Genomic DNA, 21,115 nt, shown 5'->3' with positions numbered 1-21,115 from the left:
CAGACCACAGTGCAATCAAACTAGAACTCAGGATTAAGAATCTCACTCAAAACTGCTCAACTACATGGAAACTGAACAACCTGCTCCTGAATGACTACTGGGTACATAACAAAATGAAGGCAGAAATAAAGATGTTCTTTGAAACCAATGAGAACAAAGACACAACATACCAGAATCTCTGGGATGCATTCAAAGCAGTGTGTAGAGGGAAATTTATAGCACTAAATGCCCACAAGAGAAAGCAGGAAAGATCTAAAATTGACACCCTAACATCACAATTAAAAGAACTAGAAGAGCAAGAGCAAACACATTCTAAAGCTAGCAGAAGGCAAGAAATAACTACAATCAGAGCAGAACTGAAGGAAATAGAGACACAAAAAACCCTTCAAAAAATTAATGAATCCAGGAGCTGGTGTTTTGAAAGGATCAACAAAATAGATAGACCGCTAGCAAGACTAATAAAGAAAAAAAGAGAGAAGAATCAAATAGATGCAATAAAAAATGATAAAGGGGATATCACCACCGATCCCACAGAAATACAAACTACCATCAGAGAATACTACAAACACCTCTATGCAAATAAACTAGAAAATCTAGAAGAAATGGATAAATTCCTCGACACATACACTCTCCCAAGACTAAACCAGGAAGAAGTTGAATCTCTGAATAGACCAATAACAGGATCTGAAATTGTGGCAATAATCAATAGCTTACCAACCAAAAAGAGTCCAGGACCAGATGGATTCACAACCGAATTCTACCAGAGGTACACGGAGGAACTGGTACCATTCCTTCTGAAACTATTCCAATCAATAGAAAAGGAGGGAATCCTCCCTAACTCATTTTATGAGGCCAGCATCATTCTGATACCAAAGCCTGGCAGAGACACAACCAAAAAAGAGAATTTTAGACCAATATCCTTGATGAACATTGATGCAAAAATCCTCAATAAAATACTGACAAACGGAATCCAGCAGCACATCAAAAAGCTTATCCACCATGATCAAGTGGGCTTCATCCCTGGGATGCAAGGCTGGTTCAATATACACAAATCAATAAATATAATCCAGCATATAAACAGAGCCAAAGACAAAAACCACATGATTATCTCAATAGATGCAGAAAAGGCCTTTGACAAAATTCAACAACCCTTCATGCTAAAAACTCTCAATAAATTAGGTATTGATGGAACATATTTCAAAATAATAAGAGCTATCTATGACAAACCCACAGCCAATATCATACTGAATGGGCAAAAACTGGAAGCATTCCCTTTGAAAACTGGCACAAGACAGGGATGCCCTCTCTCACCACTCCTATTCAACATAGTGTTGGAAGTTCTGGCCAGGGCAATTAAGCAAGAGAAGGAAATAAAGGGTATTCAATTAGGAAAAGAGGAAGTCAAATTGTCCCTGTTTGCGGATGACATGATTGTATATCTAGAAAACCCCATTGTCTCAGCCCAAAATCTCCTTAAGCTGATAAGCAACTTCAGCAAAGTCTCAGGATACAAAATCAATGTACAAAAATCGCAAGCATTCTTATACACCAATAACAGACAAACAGAGAGCCAAATCATGAGTGAACTCCCATTCACAATTGCTTCAAAGAGAATAAAATACCTAGGAATCCAACTTACAAGGGATGTGAAGGACCTCTTCAAGGAGAACTACAAACCACTGCTCAATGAAATAAAAGAGGATACAAACAAATGGAAGAACCCATGCTCATGGGTAGGAAGAATCAATATCGTGAAAATGGCCATACTGCCCAAGGTAATTTACAGATTCAATGCCATCCCCATCAAGCTACCAATGCCTTTCTTCACAGAATTGGAAAAAACTACTTTAAAGTTCATATGGAGCCAAAAAAGAGCCCGCATCGCCAAGTCAATCCTAAGCCAAAAGAACAAAGCTGGAGGCATCACACTACCTGACTTCAAACTGTACTACAAGGCTACAGTAACAAAAACAGCATGGTAATGGTACCAAAACAGAGATATAGATCAATGGAACAGAACAGAGCCCTCAGAAATAACGCCGCATATCTACAACTATCTGATCTTTGACAAACCTGAGAAAAACAAGCAATGGGGAAAGGATTCCCTATTTAATAAATGGTGCTGGGAAAACTGGCTAGCCATATGTAGAAAGCTGAAACTGGATCCCTTCCTTACACCTTATACAAAAATTAATTCAAGATGGATTAAAGACTTAAACGTTAGACCTAAAACCATAAAAACCCTAGAAGAAAACCTAGGCATTACCATTCAGGACATAGGCATGGGCAAGGACTTCATGTCTAAAACACCAAAAGCAATGGCAACAAAAGACAAAATTGACAAATGGGATCTAATTAAACTAAAGAGCTTCTGTACAGCAAAAGAAACTACCATCAGAGTGAACAGGCAACCTACAAAATGGGAAAAATTTTTTGCAACCTACTCATCTGACAAAGGGCTAATATCCAGAATCTACAATGAACTCAAACAAATTTACAAGAAAAAAACAAACAACCCCATCAAAAAGTGGGCAAAGGACATGAACAGACACTTCTCAAAAGAAGACATTTATGCAGCCAAAAAACACATGAAAAAATGCTCATCATCACTGGCCATCAGAGAAATGCAAATCAAAACCACAATTAGATACCATCTCACACCAGTTAGAATGGCAATCATTAAAAAGTCAGGAAACAACAGGTGCTGGAGAGGATGTGGAGAAATAGGAACACTTTTACACTGTTGGTGGGACTGTAAACTAGTTCAACCATTGTGGAAGTCAGTGTGGCGATTCCTCAGGGATCTAGAACTAGAAACACCATTTGACCCAGCCATCCCATTACTGGGTATATACCCAAAGGACTATAAATCATGCTGCTATAAAGACACATGCACACGTATGTTTATTGTGGCACTATTCACAATAGCAAAGACTTGGAACCAACCCAAATGTCCAACAATGATAGACTGGATTAAGAAAATGTGGCACATATACACCATTGAATACTATGCAGCCATAAAAAATGATGAGTTCATGTCCTTTGTAGGGAGATGGATGAAACTGGAAATCATCATTCTCAGTAAACTATCGCAAGAACAAAAAACCAAACACCGCATATTCTCACTCATAGGTGGGAATTGAACAATGAGATCACATGGACACAGGAAGGGGAACATCACACTCTGGGGACTGTTGTGGGGTGGGGGGAGGGGGGAGGGATAGCACTGGGAGATATACCTAATGCTAGATGACGAGTTAGTGGGTGCAGCTCACCAGCATGGCACATGTATACATATGTAACTAACCTGCACATTGTGCACATGTACCTTAAAACTTAAAGTATAATAATAAAAAAAAAAAAAAAAGAAAATGAGTCTCTAAAGCATAACGTGCTGGGAAGATAACATTACCACCCAGTAGCTTCATGTTCCATGGTTTTGAAAAAATTTTAGAGGTGTAAAAGATACTCATAATGTATGAGTGTTGCAATCAATCATTATAATAGCAGATAATATCTATTGAGCATTTACTATGTATTGCATAACGTGCTAAGTACTTCGTGTCCATTTTATAATGCATTAAAGTCTTTACACATTCTCCCATTTAATCCTTTTGATAATTGCACAAAGTAGATACTATTGTAATCTCCATTTTACAGATGAGGAAACTGAGTCATAAGAAGACACACAACCAAGAGGTAGAGATATGACTCAAACCTCAGTTCGTATGACTCCATAGTCTGTGAGTTTAACTACATCTCTACATTGCATTCTCTTCTGCATATCAAATTAAATTTTCAGATTCTAACCTTCATGCTTCAGATTGAGTTGATTCCACAACTCCACAATGGAGTTTTAGCCTAATTAAAATAATACAAAGGGCCAACCAAGTGTTTACCAAGTACCTACAATGTGCTCGTCCTTATGCTTTTATATATACTTATTAGGTGATTTAATTCTTACAATAGCCATAGAAGAAAAGTACTGAACATTTTGTAAGAAAAAATAAACTCTTTTGTTTTGATATTGAGCATTTTGCAAACATAGAATAAGCATCCCATCAACCACTTCAGATGATTTCTTAGGAACTCACTGAATTCTGAAGTACAGACTACCATCCCTCACATTTTCCTAAAGTATTGCTTCACCGAAGCACTCAGAACATTGAAAGTTATTTCAGCTTAAATACAGCTTTTCTGCAGCCCATTAAATATCTAGCTGGACTTCTAGTGAAAATTATGCAGAATAATATGTTTGGAACCCATACTTATTAAATTCTATACCCAGGGTGATAATGTATATCTTTCTTAATCATATATAAGTGTAAAAGAAATAAGTGGAAATGAATGGTACCAATTGAATCTATACTTCTTTGCACAACATAACTTCAACAGAGCAAAAATATCCATAGAAATATATTTCCTTTCGAAGTTATTTCAAGATGGCAAATTGAGCACACATTTATGATCCGGGCTTCCTGAGAGTCCACTGAAATAGAAATATAGAAGCACAAAAAAGAATAAAGAATAAAAGTTATTTGGGAAAGGATGTGAAGAGCATTGATCATTAGTGAATGAGAAATGTCAACAAATTTCTGGATGACAGGAAGCAGATGGAAGGTTCTAGGCAGATAAATAGCACAGAATTTCTAAAAGAGGGGCTATGATTAGGTGGGAGCTTTACCAGTAGCAAAGTTGGAGCAACCACAAGCTTGGAGTTAGTAGAAAATAGAGAAACCTGGAGCAGATAGCAGTTCTGTGTGTGAAAACTAAGGTCTGCATATGACCTTAGTTACTTGGCTTAGTTACCCTGTGTCCCATCTGTTCACAGAGGGCAATCAGCCCAGCAACATAACGTGGAGGTTAAAAGAATGGACTGTGGAGCAAGTTATCTTGGTTCAAAGTCTGCTTCTGCCATTTACTAACTCTGTAACTTTGGGCAGATTATTTAACCTCTCTGTGCCTCCATTTCCCTGTGCATGAAAGCGGGATAATAATAGTACCTAACTCATAAGATTTTTGTAAGTAGTAAATGAATTTACATATGTGATGTGCTTAAGACAGTGTCTAGCACATGATACTATATAAATAGTAGCAATATCAATAGTTTTTATCATTGTTATCAATACTTCCTGAACAAACCTCTTGAATAAACCATAGGAGAACATCTATGGATTATGGTATGGAAATTTGAGTCTCAAAGTAAAGCCTTCCTCAATCTGGAATTTGGGAGATTAGTACCTGATTGCTGGCTCCCTGCTCACTTATCCTAAAACAGTCCTGTCAGTGAACCTCTCCCCCTCAACTACATGGGGTTTCCAGTCAGACTTCCCACTAAAGGAATGAGAAAGTATATCAGGAAATAGACCTACTAATATAAAAGTAAACCCATCCCAACTACTCAGTCATTTGTTGTAAATGCAAAGAGAAAACCTAGGATCACTAAGCAGAATTTACCAGCATGTGTAAGAAAATATTCAAGACAAGTAAATAGCAAAAACTGATCCCAGAGGTAATGGAGATAATTCAGGGAGAAGAAGAGAAGCTAAAAAACAACATCAAGAATTTTAAAAATCCACTTAGAATTTTCAGAGATATCAACCGATATTGCATCCACCACAAACTATACCTATATACATCTGCTATTACAAAAATAAAACAATAAAAAAAAGAGCTCTTTGAGGTTAAAAACCCGAAAATTCAAAACCATCAGAAGAATGTTAGAGGTGGGCTCCAGGGTGGCTGATTAGAGGTACCCAGCATTTGCCTCTTCCACAAAGAAGGACGAAGACAGGGGATAGATAACCACATGTCTAAAAGAGAACATTGGAACCCAGCAGAGAAGAGACAGAAGGAAAGGCAAAGCAGCTGGCCTGGCCAGGAATGGCTCAGAATGAGAGGGAACTTCCCATTGTAGGGAAGAATTAAGTGAGAGCTCCCTAAAAATCTATATTCACATCGAGGATGCCTACAATCCTGGCCACAGGACACTCGGCCCTCATGGATACTGAGAGTGCTGAAGAAAGATGCCCTGAGTGCATGAGACAGCACAGGTCCAGAAAGGGGGTTTATGCTGGGTTCCACACAAACCCCAAGACCCAACAAGTTGCAGCACAGTGCTATTTTGAGAGTCCAGCCCCCACCACACTGCATCCTGCTCTGGAGCCCAACAGCCCTTGCATCTTCACATCCCTGACCCTGCTGAGATTCCCCTACATCTACCCAGAGGGTTGCGGTGTTGCGATGCCAGCTGGACCCAGCAGTGCAGCCAGGTTCCCAGCACTCTAGCCCACACAGTATCTTACACCCTGGGAAATGGGTGGTGCAATGCAACAGGGAGGCTGAACCTGGGACAAATGGAGCCAAAGCATGCTCTCCCTAGAGCCTAAGGGTTGCCTAACCAGCATTGCTGCCACTGACAGCAACCCCGACTTCTCCAATAGGAGGCCTGCCACACACCAGCATGTACCTTTAAGGAGACTGGGGGCCAGTCTGCCTGTGTGCCATCCCAGGACCCAAGGACAGGTCCATTCCACCCACTGCTGCTGGTGCCGACGTGTACCATCCTCAGGCCTAAAGACAGGCCTGCCATGCCTGCTGCTGGCACCCGAGTGCAATCCAGAGTCCTGGGGTGTATCCCACCCACTGCAGCCAACACTCTTGCACACCACTGTGGGGCCTGAGGACAGGCCTATCTCACTCATCACCACCAACACCTAAGAGCTCAGTCCAAGGGCCTGGGAATTGACCTTCCCTGTCCACCACTACCAGTGCCCACATGCAGCATTGGGGGGTCTGAGGACAGATCTACTCTGCCCGCTACTGATAGTTCCTATGGACATTGTCCAGGGGCCTAGGGATTAACCCACTCCACCCACCACAACCAGGGCCCACACACACACTGCAGGGATGTCAGGACAGGCCTGCCCCATGCACCGCTACCGCTACCAGCACCTGCTTGCGTTGTCTGGGGGTGTAGGGTTTGACCCACCTTGCCCATGACCACTGGAAGCTGCAAATGCCTTTTGGGAGCCTGAAGATGGGTCCACCCTCCACACAGCCACTGTCCGCATGTGCTGTTTAGGGGTCTGAGGACAGGCCTGCCCTGCCCACCACCACCAGTGAATTCACACAATATCCAGGGACCCAGCCTGCCATCACCGTGACTGGTGCCTGCATATGCTGCTCAGAAACCCCAGAGTTGATGTGCCACCTCTACTGCCACTGCTAATGCAATACACACCACTCAGGGACCTAAGGACCCACTCACCTGGCCTGCTGCTACCATCATTGGTAACAGCATGCTGCCTGGAGCCCTGAGACCCAGAACCAACATCACTGGCACCTGCATACACAGGCTGAGGGCCCAAGGATTCAGCAGGCCCAGCCCACTGTCACCACCATTGGATCCCCCAAAACAAACACACCTGACATCCCCATCCTCACCATAGCCTTGCCACAGCCTCCACTAATAACCACAACCTAAGCCACTGAGGAAGTCAGAGACTCCATTAACACTGATTACAGTCGAAGATACCATATGGAGGCTCCACTACTGTGGCCACCCAGAATCAAAGCCAAAGCACCCTACTCAACCAATACTATAGATATCTCTATTGTAAAAAAAATTCTTTCTCTACAAAACCCAATCCGTACAATTGGAAGAAGCAACTGTTATGCTAGATGTGCAGATATGAATGTAAGGACAAAAGAAACATTAAAAAAGCAAGTAAATGACATAATCAAAGGAACACAATAATTCTTCAGCAATAAATCCCAAAAGAAAAGAAAATCTATGAAATTCTTGCAAAAGAATTCAAAATGACAACATTTAAGAAATTCAGTGAGATACAGGAGAACACAGATAAGAAATACAAAGAAATCAGAAAAACAATTTATGATCTGAATAAGAAATTCAACAAAAAGATAGATATGATAAAAATGAACCAAACATAAGTCCTGGAACTGAGGAATTAGTGAAATAAAAAATATAATCAAGAGTTTTAACAATAGATTAAACAGAAGAAATAATTTCTGAAGATAGGGCTTTTGAAATAATTCAATCAGACGAAAAAAGACTAAAAAAGAAACTTACATGATATATGTGACACCATAAAGAGACCAAATATTTGAATTTTGGGAGTTCTAGAAGGAGAAGAGATGAGGAAAGGCAGAGGAAACCTATTTAATGAAATAATAGCTAAAAACTTCTCAAGTCTTGCAAAAGATATAGACATCCAGGTATAGGAAGCTCAAAATTCCCAACGAAGATTAAACTCAAAAAGATCTCCAAGAACATTATAGTCAAACTGTCGAAAGGCAGATACAAAATGAATGTTCTAAAAACAGTGGAAGAAAAGTGTCAAGTCACATATGAGGGAATCTCCATAAGGCTATTCAGCAGATTTCTCAGCAGAAACCATATAGGCCAGGAGAGAATGGGATGATATATTCAAAAGATATATAAAATGATCAGAAAACAATTAACAAAATGACAAGAGTAGGTCCTCAGCTATTAATAACAAGTTTGAATGTAAATGGTTTAAATTCCCCAATTAAAAGATATAGACTGGCTGAAATAATAATAATTTAAAAACCTGGGACCCAACTGCCTACAGAAAACTCATTTTACCTGTAAAGACACACATTTATTAAAAGTAAAGGGGTGGAAAAAATTTCCATGAAAATGGGAACCAAAAGCATGTAGAAGTAGTGATACTTACAATAGACAAAATAGACTTCAAGTCAATAAAACATAAAAAGAGACAAAGAATACCATTATACCATGACGAAAGGATAAATTCAGCAAGAGAATATATTAATAACAATATGCACCCAATGCCAGACTACACAGACATATAAATCAAATATTGTAAAAGCTAAAGGCAGAGATCAATCTCAATACAACAATAGTTGAGGTATTTAACCCTCCACCTTCAGCATTAGACCATCTAGACAGAAAATCAGCGTGGAAATATCAGGCTTAATCTGCATTATAGACCAAGTGTACCTAACAGATGTTTATAGAACATTTTATCAAACAGCTGCAGAATACACATTCTTCTCATCAGCACTTGGAACATTCCCCAGGTTAGATCATATATTTGGCCACAAAACAAGTCTCAAAATGTTTTAAAAATTGAAATTATATCAAGTATCTTTTCAGACCACAGTGGAATAAAACTAGAAATCAACAGCAAGAGGAACTTTAGAAACTGTATAAATACATGAAAATCAAGCAACATGCTCCTGAACAACCACTGTGTCAATTAAGAAGAAAAAAAAATTTCTTGAAACAAATGAAAATGTAAACATAACATACCAAAACTTGTGGGATACAGCAAAAGCAGTGCTAAGAGGGAAGTTTATAGCAATAAATACCTACATAAAAAATTGGAAAGATTTCAAATAACCTAATGGCTAACCTTAAGGAACTAAAAAGAGCAAAAAGAAACCAAACTCAAAATTAACAGAAGGAAAGAAATAAGATCAGAGCAGAACTAAATGAAATAGAGACTTAAAAAAATGCAGTGGATTAACAAAATGAAAAGTTGATTTTTTGAAAGGATAAACAAAGCTGATAAACTGCTAGACTAACCAAGAATAAAAGAGAGAAGACCCATATAAATATACTCAGAAACTAAAAGGAGATGTTACTACTGACACCACAGAAATATAAAGGATCATTAGAGACTATTATGAATATATGCTAACAAATTGGAAAACCTAGAAGACATGGATAAATTCCTGTACACATAGAAGTTGCCCAGATTGAATCAGGAGGATACAGTAAACAGACTCATAATGAGTAAAGATATTGAATCAGTAATAAAAAATGAAAACAACAACAACAACAAAAAAGCCCAGGACTGGATGGTTGACTGCTAAATTCTATCAGATTTATAAAGAAGAATTAACATCAGTTCTTCTCAAAATCTTTTGAAAATTGAAGAGGATAAAATTCTTCCTAACTCATTATATGAGGCCAGCATAACCCTGATATCAAAACCAGATAAGAACACACCAAAAGGTAAAACTACAGAGTAAGATTCCTTATAAACACAGAAGCAAAATCCAGAACAAAATTCTAGCAGATCAAATCCAACAACACATCAAAAAGGTAATACAACATAATCCAGTGAGATTTATCCCAGGGATGCAAGGATGGTTCCACATCACAAATCAATAAATGTAATACATCACATCAACAGAAAGAAGGACAAAATCCAGATGATTATGTCAACAGGTGCGAAAAGCAATTGATAAGGTTCAACATCCTTTGATGATAAAAACTTTCAACAAATTAGGCATAGAGAAAACATACCTCAATATAATAAAGGCCATATATGACAAACCCACAGCTAACATTATACTGAATGGGTAAAAGCTGAAAGCCTTTCCTATAAGAACTGGAACAAAACACAGATGTCCACTTTCACAACTCTTACCCAACATAGTACTAGAAGTCCTAGCCAGAGCAATTAGGCAAGAGAATGAAATAAAGGGGATTCAAATTGGAAAAGGGGAAGTTAAATGGTCACTCTTTGCAGATGGCATTATCTTATGTATCAAACAACCTGAAGACTCCACCAAAAATACTCTTATAACTGATAAATAAATTCAGTAAAGCTGCAGGATACAAAATCAAAACACAGAAATCAGTAGCATTTCTCTTTTGTATACACCAATAATGAACTAGCTGAAAAAGAAATCAAGAAGGCAATCCAACTTAAAATAGCTCTAAATAAAAATACCTAGGAATAAATTTAATCAGGAATATGAAAGACCTCTACAGTGAATACCATAAAACACTGATGAAAGAAATTGAAGGGGACACAAACAAGTTGAAAGATATCTGATGTTCATGTATTGGAAGAATTAATATTGTTAAAATGACCATACTGCCCAAAACAATATGCAGATTTAATGCAATCCCTATCAAAATACCAATGACATTTTTCACAGAAATGGAGAGAAAAAAAACAATTCTAAAATTTGTATTGAACCACAAAAGATGCTGAATAGCCAAAGCAATACTGAGCAGAAAGAGCAAAGCTGGTAATCATATTACTTGATTTCAAAATATACTACAAAGCTATAGTATCCAAAGGAGCATAGTATTGGCATAAAAACAGAGACATAGACCAATGAAACAGAATAGACAATCCAGAAATAAATGTATATATTTAGAGCCAACTGATTTTTGTCAAAGGTGCCAAGAACAAACATTGGGAACAGGACACTCCCTTCAATAAATGGTGCTGAAAAAACTGAATATCCATATGCAGAAGAATGAAACTAGACCAATATCTCTCATTATAAACAAAAATCAACTAGAAATGGATTGAAGATCTACAAGACCCAAGACTCTAAAACCATTAGAAGAAAACAAAGGGGAAATGCTTTAGAACATGGTTCAGGGAAAAGATGTTATGGCTGAGACCTCAAAAGCATAGGCAACAAAAGCAAAAATAGACAAATTGGACAATCTTAAAAAGCTTCTGCACAGCAAAGGAAAAGAATCAATAGATTGAAGAGACAACCTGTTAAATAGGAGAAAATATTTGCAAACTATGCATCCAACAAGGGATTAATATCTAGAACATACAAGGAACTCAATAGCAAAGAGCCCAATAATTCCATTACAAGTGGGCAAAGGATCTGAATAGACATTTTTCAAAAGATGACACACAAATGGTCAACAGGTATATGAAAAAATGCTCAACATCACTAATCATCAGAAAAATGCAATTCAAAATCACAATGTGATATCACTTCACCCCAGTTCGAATGGCTATTGGCAAAAAGACAAAATATAACAGATGCTGCTGAGAATATGGAGAGAAGGTAACTCTTTTACACTGTTGATGGGAATGTAAATTAGTACAGCCATTATAAAAAACAATATGGAGATTTCTCAGAAACCTAAACATAGAATGCCATACAATCCAACAATCCCACTACTCAGTATTTATCCAAAGGAAAGGGCATCAGCATAGCAAAGGGATATCTGTATCCCCATGTTTACTGCAGTGCTATTCATAGTAGCAAAGATATGGAATCAATCTAAGTGTTCACTGATGGATGAATGGATACAGAAAATGTGATGTAAATACCCAGTTGAATAGTATTCAGCCATAAAAAAGAATGAAATCTTGTTACATGGATGGAACTGGAGGTTATAATGTTAAGTGAAATAAGCCAGCAACAGAAAGGCAGATATTGCATGTTCTCTCTCAGATGTGGGAGGTTAAAAAGTTGATCTCATGAAGGTAGAGATTAGAATACTGGTTACCAGAGGTTGAGTAGGGTGGCAGTGAGGAAGATGAGAGGTTGGTTAATGAATAGAAACATACAGTTAGAGAGAAGGAATAAATTCTAGTGTTCAATAGCAAAGTAGTGTGGCTTGTTAATGATAATTTATTATGTATTTCAAAATAGCTAGAAGAGAACATTTGAAATATTCCCAACACAAAGAAATGATAAATGTGTGAGGTGATGGATATCCTAAATACATTGATTTTATCATTACACATTGTATGCATATGTCAAAATATCACATGGACATCAACAAATATGAATACTTCTTATGTACTACTAATAAAAATACACTACAAGTTAAAATCAAGATTTCCCAGGATATAAAGCATAATGACAACAAGATGGAAAATTAAGAAAGGAAAAAACAGAAAATCCTTAGAGGGCTAATTCATAAGGATTCCATGTGCAACTAATGGGTTCTAAAAAGAAAGAAGTCAGAATGGATGGCATATGTGTTACCAAGGATTAGATGAGAAAACATGTCCCATGCCTGAAAAAAGATTTAATGATTCTGGTTGAAACGGTCTCTGAACACCAAACAGAGAGAAAGAAGTTCACACTGCTCACATCATTAGGGAATTTTAGAATAAAAGGAAGTAAGAAAAGATCCTAAAATAAAAACCCAGTGAGAATAATTATGTTAACAAGAAAGTAATGAGAACCAGATTGGAATCAGACATCTCATCAGCGACACTAGATGCTGAAAGACCATTTAGCGAAGCCTTCTTCCAAGGGCCATCCATTTACCTTCTTTGCAATAAGTGGAGATGCTGACTGTATACCCTCTTTTCTAAGCCACACCAGCCCAGACACAAAAATAAGACTACAATGGCAGTGACAAAATAACTATTTTTCTGGTTTGGCCCTCTTCAGCAGAACTCCAGCTATCTTTTGAATTCCTCCTAAATACTTAATCGGTGCAACCTGCAACTTTGTCATCCTGGCTCCAAGAGGTAGCCTCGCATTCCACCTCTGCTGCACATGCCCCTTGGTGAGTTCTCCTGTTACCGCCAATGCCAATGTCTGCCAGAGAGTCTGCCTTTAAGCATTGTCTGAGCCTGGTAGGACGTCACAGCACTTAACTGCACAGGCTCTGGCAACAGAATGGCTGGACTCAAATCCCAGTCCCACCACATACTAGAAGCTTAACCTTGATCTATCTAGGCCTTGATTTTAGCTTCAGTAAATTGAGGATAATAATAGTATTTATCCCACAGTGTGATTGTGATAATGAAACGAGATAATCCTGTTTAAAAAGTTAGCACAGTGCCTAGCATAGAGTTCCCACTTGATAAAGTTTCAGTATATCCTACAAGCAAAGACAAAACAAAATCTCATGTGTCATGCCACTGGTACCTGCCAGCGTACACACTCAAAATGCTGCTGCCTGCTCATGGCAGCATCTTCCATCAGCACCATAGCTTCAGCTTCCCTGGGTAACACTTCACTCAAGTGAGCAGTCAATGTAATTCTCTTGACTTTCGAGTTCACTTAAGTTCTACTTTAAGCACCCATTCTGAATGGTGATAGAAACTCGGTGAATTTAGAGCCCTCTTCCCAAGTTGCATATATGTTTCCAAGGGAATACACACTACCTCTGCATTGTCTGGTGGTGGGAGGAGGCAGTACTAAGTCCTTGTCTCCTAAACAATGATGTCCTTTGGCCTCTCTGGGGTCCTCAACCATCAACAAAGTCAGCGGATGCATCTCCCCTGACTCCCACCCTAAAGACCTTTCAGACCTAGCTCTCTGACAGATACCTGCACGCCACTCTAGAGCCTCAGAGATCTGAGGATGGTTCCTGCTCTTCCTCATCACTGGCCCCATGGTGAGTGTGGGGGAAATCCTACTACGGATGACCTGGCCGTTCATGCAAGTCTCCCGACTCCTGCTTGTTTCTCCGTCTCTGAATGAGCACAGAAGCCCTCTATTCCCAGATTCCCTGGACTGATCCGGATTGTTTTGTCCAGCCTTCTCTCCTCCTGGGGGCTCTGGCTAAGAGGTAAGGGAAAGAGCCTGCTCCCTTTTTGAGTGACACACACCGGCATCTGCCTCCCTTGCTTCCTTCCCGTTCTTCTCCTTGCCCTACTCCAGGAGGAACATGACCTTGCTTTGGAGAGGGACAGGAAGGGAGGAGGATTGTGCTCACTTTGCCCAGAGGCCCTGGAGGCCCTACTGCTATTGGCTCCTTAGCTGTGACATCCCTGAGGGCAGAAAATGCCAATGACAAGCAGAGACAGGCAAGGAAATGCAAGGATACCAGACAAACTTAGCAAGGTCAAATTGTTATCTGCCATAATCTTGATACATCATAGAACAGCACCAGATAACATTTTTTGAGAACTTACTAGATTCCAGGCTTTTCTTTAAGCACTTTGTATGTATTAAGTCAGTTAATAATCATAAGAGCCTGGGAGGCAGGTAGTATTTTACTCCCACTTTCCAGATGAAAAAATTGGAGGCTAGGACAAGTTAAAGTAACTTGTGCAAGGTCAGCGAATATGTCCATAGGAAAGCTGGGAAGACAAACCTATGCAGAGTGGTTCTAGGGTCTAGGTCTCCACCCATCTTCCATCTGCCTCTCCTGGACTGTGACCCAAACAACTCCTGGGGTTTCCCTCAGTCTCATATTGTGGCCTGCGGCCTGAGTCTATGGATGTGGGTCAGGGGACACTTGGAGCAGCAGGCATACTCAGAATCAGCCCCCACCTCCTGCCCCCATGCACGCTCCTTGTTCTTAAAGAAAATGCACCTCCTGCACCTCTCTTTTGCTTTAGGTGGAGTAATTTACCTTGCCCATTATGAAAAGCAAAATATGGTCTAATGGAAAATGCAAGCCCAGCTTAAACCACAATTCCCTCTCCACCATTATAGCTGAGAAACTTTAATCAAGTTGTTTATTATCTCTGAGGCTTAGTGATTTTATCCATAAAATGGGGAGAAGACATCATAGCGTCATTAGATATGTGACGTGCTTAACACAATGCCTGACACATAGAAGGCACAAAGTAGATATTTATTTGGTTTGTTATTTCATCTAAGTTTGTGATGAGCATGTAGGGGCATTCTAACCTTCGGTGGCATAAAGTTAGATTGCTCTGTGTGAAACCAGCTGCTTGAGGTCCTTTGTCCTAGAGGCAGTTCATTGCCTGTTTATGTGCATGTCACAAGCATTGTACTAAAAGAGTCACTCTTAGCAAGAGCTTTTTTCCTTAACAATGACTGGTCTGTTTAGATTTATATCTATTGGGTTACACCTAGAGTGAAGTCAATCAATTCCCCCCCAAAAAAACTGAATAAATAATCATAAATTAATATGCTTAATAATAATGTTAACAGCTATCATTTGTATAGTACTCACTATGAGCCAGCTACTTTACTAAGGTGAATTTCATCTTTACAGTCTTGTGAGAAAGAAACTCTTGCACCTATTTTACAGAATAGGTTGTCGAGGTTTAAAGAGGTTAAATAACTTGTCCAAGGTTACAGAACTAGCTCTTGGCAGAGTTGGATTTTAAACAGAAGGGCATCCATTTTAATCCAAAGCCTGTGCTCTCCATCATGATTTAAAAGCAAATAGTAAGCCGGGCGCGGTGGCTCACGCCTGTAATCCCAGCACTTTGGGAGGCTGAGGTGGGCGGATCACAAGGTCAGGAGATCGCGACCACGGTGAAACCCCGTCTCTACTAAAAATACAAAAAATTAGCCAGGCGCGGTGGCGGGCGCCTGTAGTCCCAGCTACTCGGGAGGCTGAGGCAGGAGAATGGCGTGAACCCGGGAGGCGGAGCTTGCAGTGAGCTGAGATCGCGCCACTGCACTCCAGCCTGGGCGACAGAGTGAGACTCCGTCTCAAAAAAAAAAAAAAAAAAAATAGTAACAACAATAAAACGTAGGAAAAAACTTAGCTTCTATACTCCTTTTGCTTTCTAAAAAATTGCATATTAATCTAAGTCACATGTTCCATTAAGCCTTGCAACATAAAAGCAATAGAAATAAAACAGAACTAGTCTTAATAGATGTGTTTTCAAGACCAAGGAAAAGAAAGTCCCATGAGAATTTTCTATTATCTAAGCATGCACAGGAAATTTCACAAAGGATACTTAAAGCAAATTACTGGAATTTGGTGAGCTGGTTTTCTCCCATGAATATATTCACTGGGCCTCACCAGCATAGTGATAAAGAATAGTCCTCAGTTGACATCTAAATTAAAAAGTCAAATTTTCTAATTTATTAGAAAATAATAAAAGAAATAGTTGATTTATTTCTCCATTAGTGTTTGCCATAGTACCTAGTAGCATGCATTCATTTGACCAGTTTCCCTGGGGTATTAGTTAGCAAACTTCCTGGGGGTCTTTGGAACTTAAATAAATAAAGCAGATTCAACAGATAAGGTGCATTACTGTACGAAAATTTTTATGGCTTTAGCAGAGAACAGAATCCAACACCCATACTCATTTATAGACCTGATTAACAAGAAATTTTCTCCAAGCAGATGGAGCATGAAAACTGCTGCCCCTTGGAATCAGTTTTCTAACTGAGTTTAATATTTGCATTTGGTTTTCCACTGTTATTATTATTATTGCCATTTTAACTTATGCATTCCCGCCATAGCATATGCCTCTAGGTACAAGAGGAAGGAAAAATTCAATTTTAGTGTTTGTCTTATTTGCACTTTACTTGATGCAATTTGGTTTGCCACATGGAGTGAATAAAGCTGTCATGTTATTTTTTTTTTCAAGAAGAACACAATAACTATAATGGACTGTGCATTCATTACTGAGTAGATTCATTTTTTTCTCCCATTGAAGGGCATAAAAGAGGGGATAATTTCAAAGTGAATTGAATTGTGTCTGGTGAATCATGATGCGCATTTCCGACCAAGGCATAAAACACGTCCCAGCTTTTCTGCCAGCATTTTTTTGAAGAATATTACTCAGAATGCAGTAAAGCCATATTTGTTTGGTTTTTTGCTTGTATGTACTAATTTTCTGCGGGAAAATGTAAATTAAAAGATAACCTTTGACTTCCAGAAAGTATGCTCTATGATGGAGTCTTGGCTTGCTTTCCTGGGGGACTTGAATTTCTCTTCCTTTTTTCTTATTTTACATTACCTCCTTAACATTTTCACCTACCATCTAGCTATTGCCAAATTTTTCCCTAGATGTTAAAGATCTTAGCTGTGTTCATACTACCATTCAAACATGCCTGGCCCCATCTGGAGATTCACTGTAGGGGACCCTTCAGAGCTCTGTTGGCATGAAGTACTCAAGATCTCACTAGGAAATAGCTCATTATAAGAACAGATTTGAGGGGAATACATTTGAAGACAGTGGGATAGGGTTGGAGGAGAGGATCATTTGGGTAATAACATTATCATTCAGATCATTCCCCATTTGGTTTCCTTGGAGGGCTCACACCTGTAATCCTAGCACTTTGGGAGGTCAAGGCAGGAGGATCACTTGAGGCCAGGACTTTGTGACCAGCCTGAGTAATATAAGACCTCATTTCCATAAACAAATTTTTTTTTAAATTTTAAGAGCTGTTTTTACAAAAAATCTTTAGATATTGAGAGCACAAAGAAGTGCTTTTGTGTAACCTAGGTAACTCATGGCAGTAATACAAATAATTAACATTTATTGAGCTCTTCTAATTAGTAAACATTTTGCATACATTATCTAATCCAATCATCACAGTGATCCAATGATATGGTCATTATTTTCTCCAATTAAGGCTTAAAAGGGATGTGTAACTTGCCTGTGGACACATAGCTCAAACATGGCAGATCCAGGATTCTATGTACATCTCTCTGAATTTAAAATCCACACTCTTGACCACCTAACAATACTGTCTTTCACCAAGAAGAACTGGAGCATGCTGTAGTACAGAAAGAAATGATGGACTGAGAAGTCATCATATGGGCCTACATCTGCAATGGAGGGTGGGAGAACAGTGGGCTTTAATGCACACTGAAAATGGATGCCTAATGCCTGCATACACTTATCAGAAGCCTCTTGTTGGCTTCTTGGCAACCTCTCAGCTGCTGAGCAGAGAAGAAGAAAGTGGCTCCTGGCAGATGGTGGCCAAGATGAGAATACAAGTGAAGTAACTCCTGGACTTCCCAGAACAATTAGGGAGAGATTCAAAGGTAACTGAAATTCTTGTAGGGGAAACTGGGGGCAAACTAAAGCAAATTCTGTTTGGTTACTGTTTTTAACTCCAGGCTGGGTAGGCCTAGGGAAGCAGGATATGCAACGAACCCCACAAATCAGGATTTTGCTTATGATAAAACAAGGCAAATGGCCCCCTGCTTTCATCTTTTGATGCTCTTTAATTTTAGCTAGTGACTTCTGAAAGAATAAAAACAACTCTGAACTGCTCTATTTTCTTCCCTCCAAGCTTGCTTGGAACAGGACACGTTTCTGCTTTTTTCTCCCTAACTTCATTTATTATTCAAAAACTATTGCTAAGTATAGGCCTTTTACCCAATCAAAAAGTTCTAGATCCTCTATCCTATTGGGCCGCCCACTCTGTCTAAGAGACAGTGAGCAAGGTACTGGGGTATTCCAAGATGACTAAGCCACGGTTCCCTGCTCTGACTCACTTTCATTCTTACGGAGGGAGAGAGATCAGTGTATCACTAACCACACACAAGACAAAATAAGACAGATCTACACGGAGGCAAAGTAACAAAATGCACAGGGTGCTTTAGGCAACAAGTGGCATTCTTGCATGGGGGCTTTGCCTGTCTTCTGGCGTATGTTTTGGTAGGTGTTATTTCACACTATTCTTCCCGGCCTTCCCACTCTGCTCCTGCAGTGATGTCATACTCCCTGGGCTGTCTCTACAGTCACTTTCTTTTTCCCTTTCTAAGTAAATCCTGTCTCAGACACCCACTGAAATCTCTAAGATCCTTCTCAGAACCACCTTCAAATCAAGCTACTAACAGCATGTTCTTGCCAACCATTACTCTCTAAGTCCATCTGTCTTCCTGTCTGCTCAGACGAGTCAAAAAGTATTTCTAGATCTTTAACAATCTTTAAGCCACATGGGGAAAATGCATTTAAACTCGCTAATAAGACCACAGACTAAGGGCAAAGCACTAAGATCGAATTTTATGTACCCAATTACTGCCTTAGATGTCAACCATTCAACAGGGGGTTCTTAATAAGCTATGTAAAAGAGAGTCTTTGAAATGGTTTGGCCTTTTCTCTTTCCTTTATTAGCTAGAGTCTATCCTACTCCACCGAATGAGCAGCTATAAAATGCAGAAGAGAGCAGCGGCAACAAGGAAAAGGCTTCATGATAGCAGGGGCTGGTCTGTGTTACTCACTGCTGTATATACACTGCTTAACGCATAGTGCTACTAAATATTTGCTGAAAGACAGGAGAAAGACAGATTGAATTACACACTGGACTTGACTTGTACCGGATGAACTCTGAGGTGCCTTCTCACTGAGATTTTGTGACCTAGTAAGAGTGAGAACTTAAGTTTGAAAACAATTTACATTAAACTCATCAAATTGTATTGTTTCCTAACCCATGTTCTCAGTATAACAAATTGCTAAACAGTGTTAAGGCCAATATTGGGATCAAATAAGGGAGAATAGAATCCAGGCAATGGAAAGAATTTCAAAAGACCATTTATTTTATCCCCAGTTGGCAACTAAACCATCCCAAAAAAGGATGTAGAATGATCTAATGGGAAGAGTGCAGGCTCTGGAGTCAAAGCTGGGTTTGAATTCCTATTCTGCCACTCACTAGTTGCATGACTTTGGACAAGTTAATATCTTTGAGTCTCTGTTTTCTCTTTTATAAAATACAGGCCATAAGAAAATATCTTGGGGTGTTTGTGTGCCTTGCACAGGCTGCCATAGAGGGACCTCAGAAATGGGTCGGTTCCGTTTCTCCAGAAAGCTGTATGCACATAGTGAAATATTTTTTAAAGTTGTGTCTCAGCTTCCTTTAGGTATCAGCATCTTTCAAATTTCCTGAGCCTTATAATTTTACAAATTCTGGAATTCTGCTGAAATAAAAGGCCTTTTACTTTTTGTTTTTAATGTTTTACTTACTATTTGTTGGACTATCAGTTGAAAAATATCACTGCTTCTGAATCCTCATTTGTACAATAACCCTTCACAAATTTCAAGATCATTATCAAGTCCCTTGTGTGCCTGTTGTTTCCCAGCCCTCACTTTGCTTCATTTTTGAGAGGTTTTAAAGAAAAGAATTCTTTTAAACACTTAGTGTATCATTAGGTCTTAACCTGCTTGAAGACAGGCCCTTGTTTTCACTCTGGCGAAGCAGAACCTAAAACATTAATAGGAATTCTAACTATGGAAGATACATATCAAAGCCAGAGGAAAACAAAGTATTATCTCCTTCTACTAAATGAAGGTTAAACTCCTTCCAAAGACTAAGTTTAAAATAGTTGTTATGCAGCCAGTCAGCATGCAAGGTGACTGGAGATAGAGGAATCTTGGCCCCAGACGGGAAGTGTTTAAAAATGGACAGAGGGTTCTGGGGTAAACTCCTCCAGACCAGAGACTGAGTCTTAATCCACAGCGATTCCCTGGGACCAGACTCATGTCTGGCACCCTTTATTGGCTAGAAATCTCTGTTAAGCAGAATTGAAATAGTTGTTATGTCTAGAAACATAATAAGACTATACAAGAGTACTTTTATGTAGAAAACCAGAAAATATAAAAGTTAAAACCTAATGATATTGATATTATAATTCTTTTAAAAGTGATACAACAAGAATATTAACTTTTTAAAGAATATCACTATATATTTT

At 39.1% G+C, this 21,115-nt stretch overlaps 2 annotated features.

The window, feature by feature from the left end:
* Positions 6,565 to 7,064: an enhancer, noted in NCBI's record as "H3K4me1 hESC enhancer chr12:68233883-68234382 (GRCh37/hg19 assembly coordinates)". NCBI's record gives its function as "activates a minimal SCP1, AML or CMV promoter by ChIP-STARR-seq in naive H9 embryonic stem cells {active_cell/tissue: H9 hESC(naive)}" and the evidence as "EXISTENCE:reporter gene assay evidence [ECO:0000049][PMID:30033119]".
* Positions 18,234 to 19,433: an enhancer, noted in NCBI's record as "MED14-independent group 3 enhancer chr12:68221514-68222713 (GRCh37/hg19 assembly coordinates)". NCBI's record gives its function as "activates an origin of replication core promoter dependent on BRD2, BRD4, P300/CBP and CDK7 cofactors, and independent of MED14, by STARR-seq in HCT116 cells {active_cell/tissue: HCT116}" and the evidence as "EXISTENCE:reporter gene assay evidence [ECO:0000049][PMID:35650434]".

Source organism: Homo sapiens, chromosome 12, assembly GCF_000001405.40.
Source record: "Homo sapiens chromosome 12, GRCh38.p14 Primary Assembly".
NCBI classification, from domain to species: Eukaryota; Metazoa; Chordata; class Mammalia; order Primates; family Hominidae; genus Homo; species Homo sapiens.
This window is presented reverse-complemented; position numbering and strand designations above follow the sequence as displayed.